At 36.3% G+C, this 26,679-nt stretch overlaps 2 protein-coding genes across 2 annotated transcripts; both read left to right on the top strand.

The window, feature by feature from the left end:
- The first annotated feature begins 1,021 nt into the window (after nucleotides 1-1,021).
- On the top strand, nucleotides 1,022-7,905 carry OR5B2 (olfactory receptor family 5 subfamily B member 2). The gene is made up of 3 exons (NM_001005566.3): nucleotides 1,022-1,124; nucleotides 2,467-2,521; nucleotides 5,854-7,905. The coding sequence occupies exon 3, from the start codon at nucleotides 5,882-5,884 to the stop codon at nucleotides 6,809-6,811; it is 930 nt and encodes a 309-aa protein (NP_001005566.1). The 5' UTR covers nucleotides 1,022-1,124; nucleotides 2,467-2,521; nucleotides 5,854-5,881; the 3' UTR covers nucleotides 6,812-7,905.
- A 14,363-nt stretch (nucleotides 7,906-22,268) lies between these two features.
- OR5B3 (olfactory receptor family 5 subfamily B member 3) lies at nucleotides 22,269-26,679 on the top strand. The gene is made up of 2 exons (NM_001005469.2): nucleotides 22,269-22,342; nucleotides 25,708-26,679. The coding sequence occupies exon 2, from the start codon at nucleotides 25,734-25,736 to the stop codon at nucleotides 26,676-26,678; it is 945 nt and encodes a 314-aa protein (NP_001005469.1). The 5' UTR covers nucleotides 22,269-22,342; nucleotides 25,708-25,733; the 3' UTR covers nucleotide 26,679.

Below are 26,679 nucleotides of genomic sequence, written 5' to 3'. Positions count from 1 at the left end.
AATTCAAAAGACCTGTCTTCAAATTTTGAGATTCTCTTCTCTGCTCGTTCTAGTCTATTCTTAAGGCTTTCAACTGTTCTTCATAATTCTTTCAGTGAAATTTTCATTTCCAGAAGTTGTTTGTTTCTTTAAGATCTCTACCTTCTTGGTAAATTTCTAGCTCATATCAGGAATTGATTTTCTGATGTCTTTGCATTGGTATTCAGTTTTCTCTTATGTCTTATAGAACTTCTTTAAAATCAGTATTTTGAATTCTTTATCTGACATTTTGAAGATTTCTTATTGGTTCAAATCCATTGCTAGAGAATTACTGTGCTCCTTTGGAGGTGTTATAGCACTTTGTTTTTCATACTTCCAGTATTATTATCCTGATTTCTTTGCATCTGGAGAATTAGTCACTTCTATTATTGAATTTACTTTCATTGGGGTGTGACTTATTTTTCTTGGGAATGTGACTATAATGTATGCTGAGTAGGGTTATTTGGCTTTGTTTCTGGCTGTCTAAACTGGTGTAGACTCTGTATGATTTTCTTGTTTGTAAATATCCTTAGTGTACTGGTTTGGGTGTCCCAGATAATGATTTGGGCTATGGAACACACAGTGGTCCTGGTTCCATGCTTTGTATCCAAGGCAAGAGGGCAAAGCTGGGCAGTGTTGGGTTGTGCAAGTCTGCACTTGAACCCCACGATGGCATGTACAAGTGCTGGCCCTTACAAGGTTCAGAGAGCAATCCTCAGACCTCTGAAGAAACGCTCCAGCAATAAGCAGAGCAACTGCTGCTATGCCAATGACCCCATGAGGGAAAGAGTACATCCTAGGCTCCATGGCCTATCAAGGGGTAGTAAGACCCAGTTTGCTCTCATTAAACCCAGCAGGGCTCTTTCCCACAGCTGGACACTAGCAGTGCGTTGGGACAGTTAGCCAACTCAAATGCACTTTGCCTTTAGAGTGTGAAAATGCCTCAGGCTGCAAAACTTGCTACCGTGGTCAAAACCACTCCTCTCAGACTCAAACCCTCCTGGTCTTGTCCTGCAAGGTGGATTCCCAATTCCATTGTCCACAGCTGAAGCCCATGCTATTCTTGCCTCTCCATTCTGGCCATGTGGATTCCTCCTCCAATCAAGGTAAGATCACAAATCTCTGGCTAACAACTCTACAAACCAGTGACTGACACCAATGCTAGCTGGCAGGTTCCTGTGCAACCCACTATGAGTTAGCATCAGGAATGACCTCCTTCCATTGGTCCTTAAGTCTGAGAGTGCATGTGGGGTACTTCCCAGTGCTCTTCCTTCTCACAGTCCCTTGACTGTTCCCCAAGTCTGATCCAGGTTTTGGGAAACTCAAAAAGTTCCCGATAGCCTAGGTTGCCTGGCTTCCTGGTGGGTATGTGTATTGTGGAGCACTCCCCCTCTCACATATGGAGGGACTGATTCACAGTTTTCCATTTGGGCTGCTGTCTGTCTTGTTTTCAGCAGTATACAAAGTTTTCTTTCACTTTTATATTGAACAATCATGTTTCTACTTGGATGCAAATTCACAGTGTGAATCTCTACACACCACTTGCTATTTCCAAGTGAGCAAGGATTCTGGCAAAGCATCCATTCTGCTATCTCAGAAAAAAAATACTCATCTCTGTTTTATTAATGAGAGAACTGAAGTGCGTAAGTGTTTATACAACCTATAATCTCAATATGAACTTTGTGAAGTTATGCTGCCATCGGCCAACGAAACTTACATAACACTTTAGCCTAGTTTCCATTATGCCACTCATGATTCTGTCTGATTTCTGCCAGGAAAGTTAATGATGAATCTTTTCTGAAGATGTTCACATTACCAAGAAGAAATAACCCTGAGTAAAGTAAATACACTGGTGTTCTTCCTAAGAAAATGGAACCAGGCTTTCATATGCAGTTTAATTATTGCTTCTCTAGATGATTGGAGTGAGAGACTGTGGTTATTCTCATGGGTAACTTGTCCCCTGAGAACTTTATGTACGTTCAAATTCCTCAATTATTGTTAGTTCCCAGTCATTGGTCTCTAACATCCCAACATGACTCTATTTAACATCATGTTAGAGGTTCCACCCTGTGTGTCACCTTTTGGTGATCATTTATTGATCTCAGTGTAAAAGGTTGTCCATTGTACTAAGTGGCCTTATTTCACACTGGTATATTACTCTGAGTCTGCAACAATGGCCAGGGATAAGACCCCCAGCTAAAAATGATGTTCATTGCAGATACGATGATCCCTTCTTACAGCTCTTTAGGACTTTACAGAGTGCATTCAGAGACTTCTATTTTTCCTCACAGCAGCAGCCCTGTGTGACAAGTTGGAGAATATTTTCTAATCTCCACCTAGTCATTACTTTTTCCTTAAATCTCCCTCCCTCTAGAGAACTTCAATATTTGTGACTAGACATTAAATAATAACTTCTTAAATAGGAGCTTTTCTTTCTTCTTTGAGTAGGACTTGCAATTTGAAGATACCAACTGAAAGTGTGTCATCTTCCTTGAAGAGCAAGGTAAGTTTCTAGCTCTGTTCTACGGTCTGTTTAGGTTGTAGTAATAGAATATGTGTTATATAAAAGTTCAAGGGCAAACATTTTCCCATTGAGTAATCAGAGTTCAGTTTCCCAGCTTTTAATATTTTCATGCTATCACGCTATTTAGCCACAGTCCAGGTGTTACAACAATCTCCATTAATTGGGAAAATGGTGATTTTATTCAAATAATAGAAGATGGTATTATTCTCATCATTTAAAATTCATATGCTTAGAGGGCAACAGACATTGGTGCCTATCGAAGGGTGGAGGATAGGAGGAGGGAGAGGATCAGAAAAAAAATAACTAATGGGTCCCAGGCTAATACCTGAGTGATGAAATAATCTGTATAACAAACCCCCATGATGCAAATTTACCTATGTAACAAGCCTGTACATGTATCCCTGAACTTAAAATAAAAGCAAAAAAACAAAAAACAAAACCCTTATACACACAAAAAATCCATGTGCTTAGAAGAACATTTAGAAAATGATGGGCACTCTAAATACTTGTTGAGGCAATGAGAGAATGTATCTAAATGAATAAATGAATAAATAAATAAGTCAGCAAATGATCAGTGAGCACATTATAAAATACATGGTTCTGTGTTACTGAAGCACAGTCTCATGCCTAACTTTGCACAGGCTATTCAGAGGCTCTTGATTGAAGGCTTTAGATTTTTTAAAATAAGGAGTCCACACGATTTACATTGTGACCCATAATGTATGACTGCATGCATGTGTACACACGCACATACACACACAGCAAAATCAAAACTTACATGGAACCCTATTTTTCACCTACAATGCACCTTTACTTTCTATTTTTTTATGCTAAATGAGCTAATGTATGCAAAATACATAAAAGAGAATCTGCACATAGTGAGTGATTTATGTGTTAAAGGTCATTCCTAACAATAGCAGTTATATTTAATTTAGTTTATTGATGCTAGTGTTTTTTTATTCTGTCTTTCCTTGCCATAGAGAACTTGGAGCTTTTTTTGACCACTACCTGAGACATATTTTTTTTCTAATGTTATTTATGCATTATTTCATGACCGAATTTCCAATTTTAGACCTAGTATTCAGGATTGACTATCTCTTTTTTTCCAGGCACAAGGTAAACTTCTATGTTCCATATATACATTTAGTAAAAGAGGGAATTTGTGCAAAAGCAGTGGGACGGCTATAGATACTATATTATTTCAGAACAGAAGTAGATGCTTTAAATATTTTTTTTCTAAAAACATATGCTGAGGCTGGAGTATAGAGATGTCAAAACTTCCATTGGTAGGGTGTTCAGTGATACTGCTTCCCTAAAGAAGATGAAAAAAATGAGATAGATGATGCTCTGATTAAGTAGGTGGTAATTTCATCTTATTCACTATTGGTTAGGCTTCTACTTGAAGTAAAACAAACAAAAATAACAGAAGTGTGAATTGACAGCTCTTCAAACTACAAAAGGATCTAAGTAAGTTAGCAAGATGCATACAGAATTGTAACCTTTCCCCCATAATCTCATCCTTATTATGACTAGCAATCTAATGCTCATTGTGAAGTAGCTAAAAGCACAAATTTTGATTAGGTTGGAACTTGGTTTCAATTGTGAATCTTGACTGTTCTCCATACTAGTTGTATAATTGTAGAATATCACAAAACTTTTCAAATATCAAATTCTTATAATGGTAAAATAGTAATAACAATAATACTTATCACACACAAACACACACATGTAAACGTTTATATAAAAAGTTCTTAACATCTGTTGTAGAACATAGTATATTCTAAAAGTGATTATGTGATTTAAGTTTGGCAAACATAATGCTTTCATGGGCTAAACTTATGCAGTGTGGAAAGACAGTAGGCAGTAGTAGTTAGCAGATGAATAGTAGTTAGAGGATGAATGCCCTTTCTAATTTAAAACACTATTCATATGCAAGAACTGATCTAAATAATAATTTTATAGCTTACAACCTGCCACCAAAACAGATCTGCAGACTAAAGGAAACCCACGAACGATGCATTTTAAACTATAAGGGTCAACTAAGAGATGACATAAATGAAAGAAAAGCATGAGTTTAAGTAAAGGAGATGCTGCGAAACCAAGCTAAAATGTAAATTTCAAGGAAGAAATTAAACAGAAGAATGGTTCACATAGAATTCTGGAACAGTCTATCATTTGGGTGAAAAAAAAGACAGAATGAGAATTATTGGGAGGCACAGAAAATCTCAGTAGCCCTGGTATGTGAGGAAAGACAAATTGAAGAAGGGGCTATAAGACTTCAAAATTTACCAACACACAAAGCCCTGCCATCCTCCTTTATGAAACTAACAGATCATCATTCCATTCTAACGATAATATTATAGCTAGCTCTCATCAGACTGTGCTAAACATTTAACATTTTGTTTATTGTTGTAAAAATGTATAACATTGAATTTTCAAAATAATGCCTTGAGGTTGATCTCATTAATATTTTCATTCTGCAGATAAAATAAATAAGGTTCAGGGAAGTTAGTGTGGGACCAATGCTGCCTAGGCAGTAAATGGTAGGGCTGATAAGCACCTCTTCCCAATCCCAAACTCTATATCTGATGCTGCCTTCCCCTCAGAATTGCCTTTGCTAGTTGCACATTTCCCTACTTCTCCAGCTATCCTGAGACCCTTAATGTGCATTTTCCTCTCAGTTACCTCACTGTGAAACCTGCCTAAGTTTGCACCAACAAAGACAATGAGTAATTGTAAATTGCTTCAAATTCAATCTGATTTAGATTCAATTTAGACCATTGAGCTTGAGAACGACTCTCCTGAGCCAGAAGATAGGCTTGACTATTAACACTTGTGTACATATGAATAAATGACTTAATCTTGTGAGCCTCACAAATTAAATAAATGTAATAACGAATCAACCTCATTATATTGTTGAGAGGAATCAATATACATACAAATTGCCTAGAGCGGTTCCCAGTATGTGAGCAACATAAATGTATAAGTTTTACCAGATTAGGGAAAACTGAATTGGCAGAAAAATTAGTTCCAGATGAGTCATCTTGGACACATCATTAAATATACTACATAGCAGTTTATAAATTTATAAAATGGAAACATTGGGATATTATTTATAAAGATCCCCTGGATTCAGCAGATTACAACTCTGTAGATAATGCATTAAAGATTGTTACCAAGCCTATGCTTTAGATCTATAGAATTTTGAAGTACAAATTGTTGCTATAATTACATAATGCATATAGTATTTATATATTTCTAAATCTCTTTTTTTGTTTATCACTCTATTGCTTTATTTCTCATTGCTACAGGTCATCTTAAGTTTCTCAGATAATACTGATGGAGAATTGTACGGAAGTGACAAAGTTCATTCTTCTAGGACTAACCAGTGTCCCAGAACTACAGATCCCCCTCTTTATCTTGTTCACCTTCATCTACCTCCTCACTCTGTGTGGGAACCTGGGGATGATGTTGCTGATCCTGATGGACTCTTGTCTCCACACCCCCATGTACTTTTTCCTCAGTAACCTGTCTCTGGTGGACTTTGGATACTCCTCAGCTGTCACTCCCAAGGTCATGGCTGGGTTCCTTAGAGGAGACAAGGTCATCTCCTACAATGCATGTGCTGTTCAGATGTTCTTCTTTGTAGCCTTGGCCACGGTGGAAAATTACTTGTTGGCCTCAATGGCCTATGACCGCTATGCAGCAGTGTGCAAACCCCTACACTACACCACCACCATGACGGCCAGTGTAGGTGCCTGTCTGGCCCTAGGCTCATATGTCTGTGGCTTCCTAAATGCCTCATTCCACATTGGGGGCATATTCAGTCTCTCTTTCTGTAAATCCAATCTGGTACATCACTTTTTCTGTGATGTTCCAGCAGTCATGGCTCTGTCTTGCTCTGATAAACACACTAGTGAGGTGATTCTGGTTTTTATGTCAAGCTTTAATATCTTTTTTGTTCTTCTAGTTATCTTTATCTCCTACTTGTTCATATTCATCACCATCTTGAAGATGCATTCAGCTAAGGGACACCAAAAAGCATTGTCCACCTGTGCCTCTCACTTCACTGCAGTCTCCGTCTTCTATGGGACAGTAATCTTCATCTACTTGCAGCCCAGCTCCAGCCACTCCATGGACACAGACAAAATGGCATCTGTGTTCTATGCTATGATCATCCCCATGCTGAACCCTGTGGTCTACAGCCTGAGGAACAGAGAAGTCCAGAATGCATTCAAGAAAGTGTTGAGAAGGCAAAAATTTCTATAAGTTTGGAATTTTAACATTGTTGTATACACAAAAATGTTGTTTCCCTCATCTCAGACTTTCCTCATGCAATGAGTTACATTTGAAACCCCACAATACATTTAAGTTCATGAGGTGATATTCTTACCTCTTTAGAAGTCAATTTTTTAATAAAAATAAAATATTATCAGAAATGTAATACCTGAATGAGGAAGGCTAAATGGAAATGTTAGAATTTTTGGAACTTGCTGGTCAAAACTTACTAATGACATTCGGTTTACTCACTTGTTCCCCTTGCATTTTTTCTACCACATTCCAGTGCAAACATACTTGTTAAACAGGGACACCAACAAGCCCACAAAAAAGTACATGTTTATGCCTCTTGTGGGCACATAGGCATTAGAAGGAGAAATTTACTCAGAAGTAAATGGAGTGTGGCTAGTTTTTATATAAAGGATGTAAGTAATTAATTTAGTATTATAGTATAAATTTATTTTTGAATAGACTTTAAGAACAGTTTTATGTTCACAGCAAAATGGAGAGGTAAGTACAGAGATTTCCCATATACCTTCTGCCCCCACATACATATACCCTCCCTCATTGTCAATATCCTCCAACAGAGTGCTACATTTTTTACAATTGATGAACCTACATTGACACATCATTATCATCTCAAGACCATAATTTACATTAGGATTCACTCTTGCTGTTGTCCCTTCTATGGATTTGAATAAATGTATAATGACATCTATTTATCATTATAGTATCATATTGAGTAGTTTCACTGCTCTAAAGCTCTTCTATGCTCTACTTACTCATTCTTCCTTCTTCCCTAACCCCTGACAACTACTGATCTTTTTCTGTCTCCACAGTTTTGCTTTCTCCAGAATGTCATATAGTTAAAATCATATGGTATGTAACCTTTCCATATTGGCTTATTTCACATAGTAATATGCATCTGTTTTCTCCATAACTTTTCGTGGCTTGATAGCTCATTTCATTTTAGCACTGAATATTGTCTATTGTCAAGTGGTATCACACTTTATTCATGTACCTACTGAAGGATATTTTGGTTGCTTCCCTAGTGTTGGCAGTTATGAATAAAGCCGCTATAAACACCTGTGGTTTAACTGGTATTTTCTTTCTCCAACCTTGCTGGATGTTCTGCTGGTTTTCATTGCTTGCTTTTATCTTGTACTCATACTCTGAATATAGATGTTCTTCAATTCTCCATCCTGAGATGCTTATATTTTCAGGTTTTTATTAAACTTCTCACTGACATCTCAAAAATAACATGTATAAAACTAAAATCTTGGTTTTATTCCCCAAATCTAGATTCTGATTGTACTTAGAGTAAATTTTCTAACTGTGGCCTACAAAAGTTGCTTAACCTCTCTGCTGCCACTTCTTTCATTTTCTCCCAAATTTCTCCTTGCTCTCTATGATCCAGCAAATTAATCTTTGTTCATTTATTGAACACAAGAAGCACATTCACATTCACACTGCAGAATGCTGTCCATCTTGGCCTCTTTGCCTGCCATGTTCTTTCCTTATATGTCATTTTAAATACGATATACTCAGAGAGCCCAATTTAACTAAGCATCTAAAATTATGATCTCCCATGTCCATTAGCCTCTATTTCAGCATCATGGCTTCTTTTCTTTTAATTGTGATAAGAACTCTTATAATAAGATCTACTCTTTTAATAATTTTTAAGTGTACAATATAGTATTGTTAATTATAGGTACTATGTTGTAAGCAGATCTCTAAAACGTATTCATTTTTTATAACTGAAACTTTATACCCGTTTAACCGTAGCTTATCCCCCTATTTCCCCCACTCCCACCACAGTCCCTGACAGCCACCATTCCACTCTCTTTTTCTGTATGTCTGACTATTTTAAATACCTTACGTAAGTAGAACCATGCAGTATTTTGTCCTTCTATGACTCGCTTATTTCACTTAGCATATTGTCCTCCAGGATCATCCAACTTGTCAAATACAGCAGGATAGTCTTCCTTTTATTGAAATATAATAATTCTACATATTTTTGGGGCACAATGTGGTGTTTTGACAAATGTATACATTGTATATTGATGAAAATTAGCATAGTAATCACCTTAAACATTTATCATTTCTTCGATGTAAGAACGTTCAAAATCCCCTCTTCTAGATATTTGAAAATATATTATGCATTTTTGTTAGCTAGACTCACCCTACTGCACAATAGAGTACGAGAACTAATTCTTACTAATTGTAAGATTGTACCTGCTGACAAACCTCTCACCATCTCTTCCTCTCCGCTATTCTCCCAAGTCGCTGCTAACCACTATTCTACTTTCAACTTCTCTGAGATCAGTTTTTTTAGATTCTATATATAAGTGTGATGACACAGTATTTGTCTTTCTGTGCCCAGCATTTCACTTAACACAATGTGCTCCAGATTCATCCATGTTACTGCAAATGACAAGATTTCATCTTTTGTAAGGCTGAATAGTATTCTATTGTGTATATATACTGCAGTATCTTTATCCATTCATCTGTTGATGGGCATTTAGGTTGATTCCATATGTTGGCTATTATAAATAGTGCTGCAATAAACACTGGAGTCCAGATATTTTTTAACACACTGATTTTATTTCCTTTGGATATATGCCCAGTAGTTGGATTGCTGGATCATGTGGTAGTTCTAGTTTTAATTTTTTGAGGAACCTCCATACTGTTTTCCATAATGACTCTATTAGCTTATATTCCCACCAACAGTGTATAAGAGTTCCCCTTTCTCCACATCTTTGCCACATTTATTATATTTTATCTTTTTGTTAATAGCTATTTTAAAACTGGGGCAAGGTGATATCTCATTGTGGTTTTGATTTACATTTCTCTGGATATCAACCCCTTGTCGAATGTATACTTTTCAAATATTTTCTCTCATTCTATATGTTGTCTCTTTTCTCTGCTGATTGTTTCCTTTGCTGTGCCAAAGCTTTTTAGTTTGATGTGGTCCCATTTATTTATTTTTGCTTTTGTTGTTGCTGCTTTTGGGGTCTTCTCTAAAAATATCCTTGTGTGGACCAATGTCATGAACATTTTCCTATGTTTTCTTCTAGTAGTTTTATAATTTTGGGTATTACATTTAAGTCCTTAATTCATTTAGAGTTAATTTTTGTATATGGTGAGAGATAGAGTCTAGTTTTATTCTTTTTCATGTGGATATCTAGTTTTCCCAGCACCAATTATTGAAGAAGCTGTTTTTACCCCATTAAGTGCTCTTGACTCCTTTATTGAAAATCAATTGGCTGTAAATTCTTGAATTTATTTTTGGGCTCTCTATTTTGTTCTGTTGGTCTATGTGTCTGTTTTTATTCCAACACCATGCTGTTTTGGTTACTATAGCTTTACAGCACATTTCGGGTTCAGATAGTATAAAGCCTCCAGCTTTTTCTTTTTTTGCTTAAGATTGTTTTGGCTATTTAGGGTATTTTATGGTTCCATATTGCCAAGACCAGCTTGGTCGGGGAGACCCTAACCCAGTGGCGCTAGAGGAATTAAGGACACATACACACAAACATAGAGGTGTGAAGTGGGAAATCAGGGGTCTCACAGTCTTCAGAGCTGAGAGCCCTGAACAGAGATTTACCCATGTATTTATTAACAGCAAACCAGTCATTAGCACTGTTTCTATAGTTGTTAAATTAACTAAAAGTATCTCTTAAGGGAAACGAAGGGATGGGCCGAATTAATTGCAGCAGGAACACGCCCTTAAGACACAGATCACTCATGCTTTTCCTTGTGGCTCAAGAATGCCTTTAAGTGGTTCTCCACCCTGGGCGGGCCAGGTGTTCCTTGCCCTCATTCCCGTGAACCCACAACCTTCCAGCTTGGGCGTTATGGCCATTATGGACATGTTACATTGCTGCAGATATTTTATTTATGGCCAATTTGGGGGCCAGTTTATGACCAGACTTTGGGGGGCTTGCTTCCAACACCATATGAATTTTTTGATTGCTTTTTTCTAACTCTGAAAAATAACATTGGTATTTTGATGGGGATTGCATTGAAACTGTAGACTGCTTTAAACACTATAATCATTTTAATGGATGATATTAATTCTTTCAACCCATGAGTATGGCATGTTTTTCCATTTGTGTTATCTATAATTTCTTTCATCACTGTTTTGTAGTTTTCCTTGTAGATATCCTTTACCTCCTTGGATAAATTTATTGCAAGGTCTTTTATTATTTTTTGTAGGTATTGTAAGTGGGATTGCTTTCTTTATTTCTCTCAGACAGTTTGATATTGATGTATGGAAACATTGCTAATTTTTGTATGTTGTCTTTTTATCTTGCAATTTTACTATATTTGTTTATTAGTTCTAACAGTTTTTTGGTGGAGTCTTTAGGATTTCCCGTATATAAGATAATGTCATCTGCAAACAGGAACAATTTGACTACCTCCTTTCTAATTTCACTACATTTTGTTCTTTCTCCTACCTAATTACTCTTGCTAAAACTTCCAGTACTATGCTGAATAGTAGTGGTGAAAGTGGGCATCCTTGTCTTGTTTGAGATCTTAGAGGAAGAACTTTCAATTCTTTCCCATTCAATACAATGTTGGCTGTGGATTTACTGTATGTTGCCTTTATTATATGAAGGTTATAGTACTTCTAAACCTGATTTATTGAGGTTTTATCATGAAGGGATATTGAATTTTGTCAAATGCTTTTTCTGCCTCTATTGAAATAATCATGTTTTTATCCTTTCTTTGTTAATGTGATGTATCACATTTATTGATTGGCATGTGTTAAACCATCCTTGTATCCCTGGTATAAATCCCACTTGATCATGGTGAATGATCTTTTTAATGTGCTGTTGAACTTTTATTGCTAGCATTTTGTTGAAAATTTTTGCATCTACACTCATCAGGAATATTGGCCTGTAGCTCTCTTTCTTTCTGTGTCCTTGTCTGGTTTTGGTTTTAGAGTAATTATCACCTCATAGCATGAGTTTGGAAGTGTTCCATTCTTTTCAATTATTTTCTATAGTTTGTGAAAAATTCTAAAGAACTTAATTTTTTTTGTAGAATTCAGCAGTGAAGCCATGAGGTCCAGCACTTTTCTTTGATTAGAGACTTTATTACTGATTCAGTTTCATTACTCATTGTTGGTCTGTTCAGACATTCTATTTTTTAAATTCAATCTTAATAGGTTTTATATGTCCAGGAATTTATCTATTTATTCTAGGTTTTCTAATTTGTTGGGATATAATTGTCCACAGCAGTTTCTTATCATCCTTCATATTTCTTTAGTATCAGTTGTAATGTCTTCTTTTTCATCTCTGATTTTATTGGTTTGCTGATTATTCTGATTTGATTATTCCACAGTGTACACATATATTGAAATATCATTCTTTACCCCTTAAATATATGTAATTATTGTTTTTCAATTAAAAATAAAATAAAATAATAAAAAACATACATCTTAAAACAAATGGAAACAAAACCACAACATAACAAAGCTGATGGGATGTAGCAAAAACAGTACTAAGAAGGAAGTTTATAACAATAAATGACTACATTAAAGAAGAAAGATTTCAAATAATCTAACTGTACACTTCAAAGAACTGGAAAAAATTAAACTAAAAATTAGAAGAAGGAAGGAAAAAATAAATATGAGAGCAGAAAAAAACTAAAAAATAGAAAACTAACAGAAAAATCAGTGAAAGTAAGAGTTTTTTGAAAAGATAAAATTGACAAATGCTTAGCTAGACTTAAGAAAAAAGGTAAATTTTGATTCAAATTTTTAAAAATGAAAGATGTGAAATTATAACTGATGCCACCAAAGTAAAAAGGATTATTAAAGACTACTATGAACAATTTTTTACCAAGATTGGATAACCAAGAAGAAATGAATAAATTCCTAGATTCATAAAACATACCAAGACCAAATCACAAAAAAATACAAAGTCTGGAATGACCAATAATGAGTAAACAGATTGAATCAGTAATCAAAAAGCTCCCCCAAATTAAATCCCAGAATAGATAATTTCTTTTTTTATATTTTTTTTATTATATTTTAAGTTCTAGGGTACATGTGCACAACATGCAGGTTTGTTACATATGTATACATGTGCCATGTTGGTGTGCTGCACCCATTAACTCATCATTTACATTAGGTGTATCTCCTAATGCTATCCCTCCCCCTTCCCCCAACCCCACAACAGGCGCCGGTGTGTGATGTTCCCCTGACTGTTTCCAAGGGTTCTCATTGTTCAATTCCCACCTATGAGTGAGAACATGTGGTGTTTGGTTTTTTGTCCTTGCGATCATTTGCTGAGAATGATGGTTTCCAGCTTCATCCATGTCCCTACAAAGGACAAGAACTCATCATTTTTTATGGCTGCATAGTATTCCATGGTGTATATGTGCCACATTTTCTTAATCCAGTCTATCATTGTTGGACATTTGGGTTGGTTCCAAGTCTTTGCTATTGTCAGTAGTGCTGCAATAAACATAGGTGTGCATGTGTCTTTATAGCAGCATGATTTATAACCCTTTGGGTATATACCCAGTAATGAGATGGCTGGGCCAAATGGTATTTCTAGTTCTAGATCCCTGAGGAATCGCCACACTGTCTTCCACAATGGTTGAACTAGTTTACAGTCCCACCAACAGTGTAAAAGTGTTCCTATTACTCCACATCCTCTCCAGCACCTGCTGTTTCCTGACTTTTTAATGATCGCCATTCTAACTGGTGTGAGATGATATCTCATTGTGGTTTTGATTTGCATTTCTCTGATGACCAGTGATGATGAGCATTTTTTCATGTGTCTTTTGGCTGCATAAATGTCTTCTTTTGAGAAGTCTCTGTTCATATCCTTCGCCCACTTTTTGATGGGGTTGTTTTTTTCTTGTAAATTTGTTTGAGTTCATTGTAGATTCTGGATATTAGCCCTTTGTCAGATGAGTAGATTGCAAAAATTTTCTCCCATTCTGTAAGTTGCCTGTTCACTCTGATGGTAGTTTCTTTTGCTGTGCAGAAGCCCTTTAGTTTAATTAGATCCCATTTGTCAATTTTGGCTTTTGTTGCCATTGCTTTTGGTGTTTTAGACATGAAGTCCTTGCCCATGCCTATGTCCTGAATGGTATTGCCTAGATTTTCTTCTAGTGTTTTTATGGTTTTAGGTCTAACATGTAAGTCTTTAATCCATCTTGAATTAATTTTTGTATAAGGTGTAAGGAAGGGATCCAGTTTCAGCTTTCTACATATGGCTAGCCAGTTTTCCCAGCACCATTTATTAAATAGGGAATCCTTTCCCCATTTCTTGTTTTTGTCAGCTTTGTCAAAGGTCAGATGGTTGTAGATGTGTGGTATTATTTCTGAGGGCTCTGTTGTGTTCCATTGGTCTATATCTCTGTTTTGGTACCAGTACCATGCTGTGTTGGTTACTGTAGCCTTGTAGCATAGTTTGAAGTCAGGTAGCGTGATGCCTCCAGCTTTGTTCTTTTGGCTTAGGATTGACTTGGAGATGTGGGCTCTTTTTTGGTTCCATATGAACTTTAAAGTAGTTTTTTCCAGTTCTGTAAAGAAAGTCATTGGTAGCTTGATGGGGATGGCATTGAATCTACAAATTACCTTGGGTAGTATGGCCATTTTCATGATATTGATTCTTCCTATCCATGAGCATGGAATGTTCTTCCATTTGTTTGTGTCCTCTTTTATTTCATTGAGCAGTGGTTTGTGGTTCTCCTTGAAGAGGTCCTTCACATCTCTTGTAAGTTGGATTCCTAGGTATTTTATTCTCTTTGAAGCAATTGTGAATGGGAGTTCACTCATGATTTGGCTCTCTGTTTATATGTTATTGGTATATAAGAATGCTTGTGATTTTTGCACATTGATTTTGTATCCTGAGACTTTCCTGAAGTTGCTCATCAGCTTAAGGAGATTTTGGGCTGAGACGATGGGGTTTTCTAGATATACAATCATGTCATCTGCAACAGGGACAATTTGACTTCCTCTTCTCCTGATTGAATACCCTTTATTTCTTTCTCCTGCCTGATGGCCCTGGCCAGAACTTCCAACATTGTGTTGAATAGGAGTGGTGAGAGAGGGCATCCCTGTCTTGTGCCAGTTTTCAAAGGGAATGCTTCCAGTTTTTGCCCATTCAGTATGATATTGGCTGTGGGTTTGTCATAAATAGCTCTTATTATTTTGAGATACGTCCCATCAAGACCTAATTTATTGAGAGTTTTTAGCATGAAGGGCTGTTGAATTTTGTCGAAGGCTTTTTCTGCATCTATTGAGATAATCATGTGGTTTTTGTCTTTGGTTCTGTTTATATGCTGGATTACATTTATTGATTTGCATATTTTGAACCAGCCTTGCATCCCAGAGATGAAGCCCACTTGATCATGGTGGATAAGCTTTTTGATGTGCTGCTGGATTCGGTTGGCCAGTATTTTATTGAGGATTTTTGCATTGATGTTCATCAGGGATATTGGTTTAAAATTCTCTTTTTTTGTTGTGTCTGTGCCAGGCTTTGGTATCAGAATGATGCTGGCCTCATAAAATGAATTATGGAGCATTCCCTCTTTTTCTACTGATTGGAATAGTTTCAGAAGGAATGGTACCAGCTTCTCCTTGTACCTCTGGTAGAATTCGGCCGTGAATTCGGAACCAGATAACTTCTCTGGTGAAATTTACCAAACATTTTTAAAAAGAGGAAACGTCAATTATTATCACACTCTTCCAAATAACTGAAGAGAAGAGAACACTTTTAAACTAATTTTATGTGGCTAGCATTATTCTCACATTCAAAACAAGGAAAAGGTACCATAAGAATGGAAACTACAGACAATATTTCTGATGACTATAGGTAAGAAATCCTCAACAAAATACTAGTAAACTTAACACAATAGCACAATAAAAGAATCATACACCATGATCAGGTGAAATTTACGTCTAGGATGCAAGCATGGTTTAAACTGATTAGTATTAAAGATAACATTAACAGAATGAATGATAAAAAATCACAAGATCATCTGAATTGTTGCAGAAAAGTATTCAATGAAATTTACCACCTTTCAATGATAAAAACCCTAAACAGGCTAGATATAGAAGAAATGTACTCTAACATAATAAAGCCTATGTAAAAAGCCCACAGCTAGTATCATACTCAAAGTTTAAAAAGTGAAAGATTTTCCTTTAAGATCAGAAAGAAGACAAGGATGCCCACTCATATCACTCCTATTGGCCATAGTACTGAAAGTCCTAGCCAGAACAATTAGGCAAGAGAAAGAAATAAAAGACACTGAAATAGGTAAAACTGTCTCTATTCATGGAAGATGTGATCTTATATACAGAAGATCTTAACAACTACTAAGAAACACCTGTTAGAACTAATGAATTTAGTAAAGCTGCAGGATACAAAATCAACACACAAAATCCCGTTGCATATCTATACACTAACAATAATCTACCTGAAAAAAAAGTTTAAAAAATCCTATTTACAACAACATGAAAAACAATGAAATACTTAGAAATAAAGTTAACCAATAAGGTGAAAGTCATACATTTAAAACATAACAAGAAATGATGAAAGAAATTGAAGAAGACTCAAATAAATTGGAAGATATCTGCATTCATGAATTGGAAGAATTAATGATGTTAAAATGTTCATACTACGAAATGCAAGCTACAGATTCAATGCAACCCCCACAAAAATTCCAATGGCATCTTTTTTACAGAAATGGAAATATAGTCTAAAAATTCATATGAAACCACAAAGACTCTAAATAGCCAAGACAATCCTGACAAAGAAGAAAAAAGCTGGAGACATTACAGTTCTGATTTCAGAATATGTTACAAAGACTACAGTAAAGAAAACAGTATTATATTTCTATAAAGATAGACATATGGAAGAGTGGAACAGAATAGAGGGCTCAGGAATAAACCTAGGAATATGCAGTCAACTGATCTTCAACAAGGGAGCCAGGGATACATAATGAGAAAAGGAAAGTCTCTTCAAGAAATAGTATTGGGAAATCTGCATATCTACATGCAAAAGTAGGATCTTTGCAAAAGATGTTACTCAAATGAATCTTTATCTTATACCATACACAAAAATAAATTTAAATGGATGCAAAATTAAACATATACTTGAATCTTGAAACCCCTAGGAAAAAAAACTAGGGAATAAACTTTTTGTCATTAACCTTGGCAATGATATCTTGAATATGACACCTAATGCACAAGCAGTAAAAGCTAAAATAAGTGGAACTACAACAAACTGTTTCTGCATAGTGATAGAAACCATCAAAAACATAGAAAGGCAACTTACAGAATAGGAGACAATATTTACCAACATTACACTTGATAAGTGTTACTATTTAAAGTGTATAAGGAGGGCTGGGCATGGTGGCTCACATTTGTGAGACCAAAGCAGGAGGGTAGCTTGAGGCCAGGAGTTTGAGACCAGCCCGAGCAATATAGTGAGACACCATTTCTACAAAAAGTTTTAAAAATTAGCCAGGCATGGTGGTGCATGCCTATAGTCCCAGATACTCAGGATGCTGAGGTGGAAGGATCATTTGAAGCCAGGATGCTGAGGCTGCAGTGAGCCATGATTGTACCACTGCACTTCAGCCATGTGACAGAGTGAGACCCCATCTGAAAAAATAAAATATAAAATATATTAGGAATTCCTACAAATCAGTAGTAAAAATTAATTCTATTTAAAAATAGGTAAAAGTCTCGAATAACTATTTTTCCATAGAAGGCATACAAAAGGTCAACAGGGATATGAAAATTTGCTCAACATCATTAATTGCCTTGGTTCATTTAATGTTGCTTATAACAGGATGCCTAAAACTAGATAGTTTATTTTTAAAAAGAAATTTATTTCTCACAGTTTTAGAGAATAAGCAGTCCAGGGTTGAGGGGCCATATCTGGTGAGGGCCTTCTTGCTGGTGGGGACTCCCTGCAAAGTCTCATAGCCGCACAGGACATCATATGGTGAGAGGACGGAGCATGCTAGCTCAGATCTCTTTTTACAAACCCACAAGTCCAAGTCCCATGAAAACTCATTAATACATTAACCCATGAATTCATTAATCTATTAGTCTATGAAGGGATCAACCCATTCATGAGAGCTGAGCTCTCATGACCCAAACACCTCTCTAAACTTTCACCTATATAGGAAGATCGTATTTTGTCCATTTTTGAAGGTTAGTTTTGCCAGATGTAGAATTCTCAGTTGACAGTTGTTTAAATTTTCCTTTAATACCTTAAAATATATCATCTTGCTACTTTTGGACTCATGATTTCTGATGATAAATCATTTATGAATATGAGTGAAAATCGTGTGTATGTGAGAAGTTGCTTATATTTTGCAGCTTTTGTAATTCTTTCACTTTGAACAGTTTGACTGTAATGTGTATGGGGATCACATCATGTTAATCCCTCTTAAACTTTGTGAGCTTTTTGTAAGTGCAGATTTGTGAAGTTAATCAAGTTTGGGAAGTTAGTGGCCATAGTTCTTCAAATATTTCTTATGAACTTTCCCTTATTTCACCTCTCATTCTTGCACTCTACTTGTGCTCATGTTGGTATACTTGATGGCATGCAAGAGGTCTCAAGCTCTTTCCATTCTGTCTTCATTCTGTTTTCCTTTCTTCTCCTGAGACCAGATTGCTTTAATTGACACATCTAGAAATTCACTTATTTGGCCAGACATGGTGGCTCATGTCTATAATACCAGTACTTTGGGAGTCTGAGGCAGGTGGATCACTTGAGCTCAGGAGTTCGAAACCAGCCTCGGCAACATGGCAGAACCTTGACACAAAAAGAAAGAAAGAAAGAAAATGCATCCAGGTGTATTGGTGCATGCCTGTGGCCCCAGCTACTTGGGAGGCTGAGGCAGGATGATCCCTTAGAGCCAAGAGGTGGAGACTGTAGTGAGCCATGATTACACCACTGCACTACAGCCTGGGTGACAGAGTAAGACTTTGTCTCAAAAAGAAAGAAGGAAGGAAAGAAGGAAGGAAGGAAGGAAGGAAGGAAGGAAGGAAGGAAGGAAAGAAGGAAAAGAGGGAGGGAGGGAGGGAAGGAGGAAGGAAAGAAATTCACTGATTTTTTTCCTTCTCTTGCCAAATATTGTTAAAACCCTCTGGTGAATTTTTTATTTCACTCATTGTACTTTTCAGCTCCAGAAATTTTACCTTTTTTAAAATAATTTTTATTTTTAATTAATATTTATTATATATTGAAACACCATTGTCCTAGTTTTCTTTAGTTCCTTGTCAATTTTTTCCCCTTAATCCCTTTGAGCCCATTTAAGGCAATTGATTTAATATTTTTGTCTTCTAAGCATAACGTTTATGCTTCCTCAGAACAATTTCTGTTAATTTTTGTTTTCTTGGAAGTTGGAAATGGTTTCTTGATCCTTCGTATGTCTCCTATTTTTGGTTGAAATTTTGACATTTTTAATATTATAATATGGTAATTCTGGAAGTCAAATTATCTCCCCTTCTATCCCCAGTTTCATTTGTTGTTGCTTGCTCTGGGTGCAGTTGTTTATTTAGTGAGTTTTATTAAAATATTTGAAAGAATGTATTTATTGTCATATGTGTCCTCTGAGGTCTCTGTACTTGTGGTCACGTAGCAGTTTAACAGATACTTCCTAAAAATGTCATGTGAGGTCGCCTTTTTCTTGAATCATCATTCACTTTGTTTCTGTAGATCCTTGACTATTTTCCAGAGTTCAAACAAAGTTGATTGTGCCAGTTTTTGCTTGCTTTTTTAGTGTTTCTGTGGAGTAACAGGCCCTTAAAATATTCTAATCTATCACTTTTCTTGCCCCCATCTTACAAGGAACTGGTAACTGCATTTACAGCCCACTGAATAATTTAGGTTAAACTCCATCTTGCTGTCCTTAATTTGATCATAACTGCAAAGCAGTTGTCATATAAGGTAAAATTTACTGATTCCAGGTATTAGAATCTGATATTTTGGAAGATAAATATTCAGCATCCTACAGATTTATTTCTCACTTATGCTATGACATGTCTGTCACACAGGTTGTCTGGCTAAGTGAAAAGCTGTATGTGGTCACTCAAAGACACCTGCTGATGAAGGTATCATCATCTGTTTCTGCACCTGCTGGAACATTAAGCCTTTTGATTATCATAGCAGGAGATGAGATAAGTGGAGAGTAGTGTGTATGTTTCAACCAACATTACAATTCTTTCCATAGTTCATTATCTAGAACTATTACATGTCCTACCTAGCTGGAATGGGGCATGCACATGTAGAAAAGCAGGTGGATTTTTTGTGTACCACTGTTTTGTGACCCATCTATGGAAAATATTATAAATAATAAATATTAATATTTAACCTATCAAACACCTGATATATGGTAGAAAGTGTGCTGTGCTCTATAAATACGTCATGTGATTATCTTTTTGAAAATATTATGAGAATGACAAGATAGTATTTTCTTCTTCCTTACAGAAGAGAAGCTGAAGTTTGAAAAGGCTACATTTCTTACTCAAATTTGAGGTGAAGCAACAACCTTGGTGTACAGAACAAATGTTTAATCATGACACTGGCTTGTACTAAGAGAGATGTGATAAGTCTGCTTGGGAGTGTGGTGTGGGCTCAGAAGCAACAGTGCAAAGCGATGAATCTGTGTGCAAAAGGATGAATCTGTCTCCTTTTTTGGAAAAGAAAAGCATTCCCAGGCCAGAATTGTGGTGATAAGGTAGATAAGTGTTAAGAAAATCGGTAAGGAGATATCTTAGAGAAAAATCAAAAAAAGTAAAATAAAAATTAAATTAAAAAATTTTTAAATATAAAATGCTGATACAGAGGTGAGACAATTTGAACGAACTGCTAGTGGGAATTCAAAATAGTAGAATATCTTCAGAAAAGATGTTGACAGTTTCTTATTCAGATAAACATGTGCTTACCATAGAACAATTCAATCTGACTCATAAATATTTATTCAAATGAAATGAAAATCTATGTTCACCTCAGAAACTTTTTTTTTGAGACAGAGTCTCACTCTGTAGCCAAGGCTGGAGTACAGAGGCGCAATCTTGGCTCATTGCAGCCTCCGCCTCTGCCTCCGCCTCTGCCTCCCGGGTTCAAGCAATTCTCCTGCCCCAGCCTCCTGAGTAGCTGGGATTACAGGTGCCCGCCACCATCCCTGGCTAATTTTTGTATTTTCAGTAGAGAATGAGCTTCACCATGTTGACCAGGCTGGTCTTCAACTACTTACCTCAAGTGATCCACCCCGCTCGGCATCCCAAAGTGCTAGGATTACAGGCATGAGCCACAGTGCCTCACCCAGAAATCTTTAATGAAATGTTTAGATCAGCTTTATTTCTACTCACCAAACACTAAAACCAATACAAATGTTCCTCAGTTGCACAATGAGAAAAACAATCTGTAATGTCCACATAATGCAATATTCTTCTACAATAAAAAAGATTTAACTCTGACATAGGCAACAATATATATGGGTCTCAATTGCTAAGTGAAAGTGAAAGATGCCAGACTCAAAGACTACATATTCTAGGATTATATTTAAAGACATTCTAGCAAAAGCAAAATTATTTGGACAAAAACAATTTACTTGTTGCCAGGGTAGCGGGTGGGAAAAGAGGTTACCAAAAAGTCGGCTTAGAAAATTTTTTTTATGTAATTGTTGCAGTCATTATGTGACCATGTATTTGACAAAATTCTTAGAACTGTACAGTAAAGTGTGTATTAATACTGGGTATTACTGTATGTAAATTATGCATTAATTAGAGAATGAAAAAAATAAATTTAATATGCACACAAATTATGTGCACATATTAAAAATAATAAGCTTGATCCCCACCGGCAGCTTTAATTGCTTCTTCACCAGGAAAGTAGAATGAGGAGCTGTAGATCCTCTCACAGGGGACATCTCCAGAGATCTCCATGCCCTTATAATTCTCCTCATGTCTCCATATATTAGCATCTAAAATCCCAACATGACTCCCAACATGATGTAGTTTTAGAGAGACCACACTGTGTACAAAGCTCTGCAGATCATAATTTATTCATCTAAAGGATAATTGTTTTTAGTTCATGCATGCCTTCTGACCTGAGGCTTTGCTATGAAGCTTCAACCCTGCTCAGGGAAAACATCCCGAGTTAAAAATTACATTGACTGATTTTTGCATGATGGCCCCTTAGCAAGATGTTTTACAGGCCTCCCTTACTTGTTCTTTACAGATGCAATTCTGTGAATTATGTGAGAGAGGTAATCTTAACATGTTTATTTTCTCAAGAAAGGGGAAGATAAGTAATTCCTTTAAGTTCACAGAAAGAATTAATAGTAGATTCAGGACTTTTTCCGTGTTAATGCTCTTCCCTTTATTTCTCCATGCCTAAGAGACCTTGAAACCTGTTGACCACTATCTGAAAGCAAGCTTCTCCAAACATATTAATGCAATGTTCCATGGCTGATTTTCTGATTGCAGAACAACTATTCTGTATTGACTGTTTCTGCTCATCCAGCTGTAAGGTAAGCTTCTATATCTAAGAAACATTTTAGAGACAAGTGTAACTCATGCAAAAGCAGTGGGGCAGCTATACCTACTATAAGCTATTTGAGAGCAGAAATAGATGTTTTCAACATTTTTTCTAAAATACTGAGGTGGGCATAGGGCATAAATGTTCCATTATAGGAAATTTAGTGGTTCTTATGAAATGTGCTTCTTCCTCCAAAGATATGAACAAAAAATAAGATAGATGATGCTCTGACTGACTAGGTGGTAATTTTATCTGTTTGTTATATATTGGTTTCTCATGAGTGGTAAAAAAAAAAACCAAAAACAAACAAAAACAAGTGAAATGTTCATTCTTTAAACTACAAAAAGGTGTTAAATGAATTAACGAGCTATGACCTGTGTTTTAACTTTTTTTATAATCTCATTACTATTAGCGCATCTACCTATGTTGACAGTGATGTGGCTGAAAGTTTTGACTTTTGATTAGATTGAAGATGGATTTAACTCTTGAACCTTGACTCTCAAACTAGTCATATAATTTTGGAGCATCATATCACTTCTCAAATTGTCAATGTTCTTAACGATAAAGTAATAATACTATCTAACTCTCTCTCTCTTTCTCTCTCACACACACACATGCGCACACACGCATATACACACACATTATTTATATATAAAGTTTTTATTATTGGTTGTAGAACATAGTGTATGCTAAATGCGGTCAGGTATGTTAAAGTTAGCAACATAACACCTTCATAGGTCAGGCTTGGGAAGTGAAGTTGCCAAGTGTTTAAAAGAAAGACAGTAGGAAACAGTAGTTAGTATTGGTTGGACACCCTTCTCCAGGCCCCAATCCAAATACACAGACTTAAAGTATTATTCCTGATTTCATTCTTTTTTTCATGGCTGTGTAGTATTCCATGGTGTATATGTACCACATCTTCTTTATCCAGTCTACCACTGACGGGCACCAGGGCTGATTCTATGCTTTCATTGTTGTGAATAGCGTGCTGATGATCATACAGGTACATGTGTCTTTTTAAAAAAAAAGTCCAACTTTTAAGTTCAGGGCTACGTGTGCAGGATGTGCAGGTTTATTACATAGCTAAGATGTGCCATGGTGATTAGCTGTACAGATCATCCCATCACCTAGGTATTAAGCCCAGCATCCATTAGCTTTTCTTCCTGATGCTCTCCCTCCTCCTACCCACCATCCTCTGACAGGCCCCAGTGTGTGTTGTTCTCTACCATGTGTCCATGTGGTTTCATCGTTCAGCTCCCACTTAAAAGTGAGAGCATGCAGTATTTGATTTTCTGTTTCTGCATTAGTTTGCTGAGGATAATGGCTTCCAGATCCATCTATGTCCCTGCAAAGGAGATGATCTCGTTCTTTTTTATGGCTGCATAGTATTCCATGGTGTATATGTACCACATTTTCTTTATCCAGTCTATCATTGATGGGCATTTAGGTTGACCATATGTATTTGTCTTTTTAGTAAAATGACTTATTACCTTTTGAGTATATACTGGGTCAAATAGTAATCTGTACACTAGATTTATGGAATACTACATAGCCCTAAAAAATGAAATCATGTCCTTTGCAGCAACGTGGATGAATCTGGAGGCCATAATCTTAAGCAAAGTAACACAAGAACAGAAAACCAAATAACTCATGTTCTCACTAATAAGTGAGAGCTAAATTATGAGAACACATGGACATAAATATGGGAACAATAGACACTGTGGACTACTAGAGGATGGAGAAAGAGAGGGTGGGCTTAAAAACTACCTATCAGATGGTATGCTCACTACCAGGGTGACAGGATCCATACTCCAAACCTCAGCATCATGCATATTCCCACGTAAGAAATCTGCACGTGTAACCCTTGTATCTAAAATGAAAGTTGAAATTTTAAAACATTAAAATAAATAAATACTAAAATATTGTTCCAAAACAAGAATAGATTCAAATAAAATATTTTATCACATGGAACTTGCCACCAAATCAGATCTGTGAGCTAAATAAAGATAGCCCATAAAGTAGGAAATTTTAACCCTTAATCTTTGATTTAACTATGGAATAACAGTAATAAGAGAAAGAATGGCTTTAGGAAAAAGAAACTTTTTTACCCACACTAAAATGTGGATTTCAAGGGAGAAATTAAGAAAAAGAAAGGCTCATGTGAATCTTCCGGAGCAGACAATCATTTGCTTGGAGGAAGAACAACCTGAAAATCACTGAAGAACACAGAAAATCTCAGTGGTCCTAGCATGGAGGAAAAGAAAATTGGAGGTGGGAGCTTCAAGATTTCAAAGCTCACCCATGCCTGCAGCCCTGCTTGTCACCATCCACCTTTATCAAACCAACAAAAAGATTATCACCTATCTAATAATAATATTTAATATTATAACTAGCACTCATTAGGCTGTGCTTAACATCTAGCATTTTTAATGGATTATCTTATTTAATTCTCACAATAATACCTCAAAGTAGGTCACATTACTGTTTTAGTGTTACAGAAGAAAATGTGATGTTTAAGGGAATTAGATTAGAACCAGTGATTCCCAGGTGGTAAGTCGTGGACTGATACGCAACTCTTTCAAGAACTCAAGCTCTGTATCTGCTCTGTTTGGTGATAGGCTTCTCTCAGAATTGTTTCTGGTAGTTGAACATGCCCCAAACAACCCTGTTACCCCAGCCCATTTACTAAGCATATATTACTTGCTTACTTCATTGTGAAACTCAAAACACTGAGTTTGTACCAAAGGAGACAATGAGTGATTGTAAATACAGTTGTATTCAATTTGATTTAAATTCAGTTTAGACCATTAGATTTAGGAACCATTCAGCATGGGTTCAAAAGTTGGTATGGGTCCAAAGCATGGCTTGCCATTTAATACTTGTATAAATATGAATATGTTACTCAACCTCCTGTGCTTCATAATTTAAATGAATGCAACAACTAATCAAATACATAATATTGTAGAAAGGAAATAATGAATATATATCTTAAATGTCTAGAGAAGTTCTTGGTAAATTAGCAACATGTGTCAGCTTTTACTGTGCTCAGGAAAAGTAAATTGACAGATAGATGCATCTAGATGAGTCATCTTGATCAGGTTAGTAAATTTTATAAATATGAGTTTACACATTTATAATATCTAAAAGTTGTGTAGATAATCTACTAAGATTCTTCAGTTTCAACAGTATGTAACTCTGTATAATTAATGCACTGCATTTGGTTGTCAAGGCCGCGCTTTTTCTAGGGAATCTTGAAGTACAAGTTATTGCTACAATGAAGGAATACATATTGTACTTATACTTTTCAATTTTAATTCAATTTATTTATCACACTGTTCTTTTTTGTATTGCTACAAGCATCCTGTGAGTCCCCCAGAGCAGTGATGGAAAATAAGACAGAAGTAACACAATTCATTCTTCTAGGACTAACCAATGACTCAGAACTGCAGGTTCCCCTCTTTATAACGTTCCCCTTCATCTATATTATCACTCTGGTTGGAAACCTGGGAATTATTGTATTGATATTCTGGGATTCCTGTCTCCACAATCCCATGTACTTTTTTCTCAGTAACTTGTCTCTAGTGGACTTTTGCTACTCTTCAGCTGTCACTCCCATCGTCATGGCTGGATTCCTTATAGAAGACAAGGTCATCTCTTACAATGCATGTGCTGCTCAAATGTATATCTTTGTAGCTTTTGCCACTGTGGAAAATTACCTCTTGGCCTCAATGGCCTATGACCGCTATGCAGCAGTGTGCAAACCCCTACATTACACCACAACCATGACAACAACTGTGTGTGCTCGTCTGGCCATAGGCTCCTACCTCTGTGGTTTCCTGAATGCCTCCATCCACACTGGGGACACATTTAGTCTCTCTTTCTGTAAGTCCAATGAAGTCCATCACTTTTTCTGTGATATTCCAGCAGTCATGGTTCTCTCTTGCTCTGATAGACATATTAGCGAGCTTGTTCTTATTTATGTTGTGAGCTTCAATATCTTTATAGCTCTCCTGGTTATCTTGATATCCTACACATTCATTTTTATCACCATCCTAAAGATGCACTCAGCTTCAGTATACCAGAAGCCTTTGTCCACCTGTGCCTCTCATTTCATTGCAGTCGGCATCTTCTATGGGACTATTATCTTCATGTACTTACAACCCAGCTCCAGTCACTCCATGGACACAGACAAAATGGCACCTGTGTTCTATACAATGGTCATCCCCATGCTGAACCCTCTGGTCTATAGTCTGAGGAACAAGGAAGTGAAGAGTGCATTCAAGAAAGTTGTTGAGAAGGCAAAATTGTCTGTAGGATGGTCAGTTTAAC

The sequence above is a fragment of the Homo sapiens genome, chromosome 11 (genome assembly GCF_000001405.40).
Source record: "Homo sapiens chromosome 11, GRCh38.p14 Primary Assembly".
NCBI lineage: Eukaryota > Metazoa > Chordata > Mammalia > Primates > Hominidae > Homo > Homo sapiens.
This window is presented reverse-complemented; position numbering and strand designations above follow the sequence as displayed.

Bases quoted from the DNA above. Each gene is read 5' to 3' on its own strand.
- OR5B2 (NM_001005566.3), top strand. From the start codon at position 5,882: ATGGAGAATTGTACGGAAGTGACAAAGTTCATTCTTCTAGGACTAACC.
- OR5B3 (NM_001005469.2), top strand. From the start codon at position 25,734: ATGGAAAATAAGACAGAAGTAACACAATTCATTCTTCTAGGACTAACC.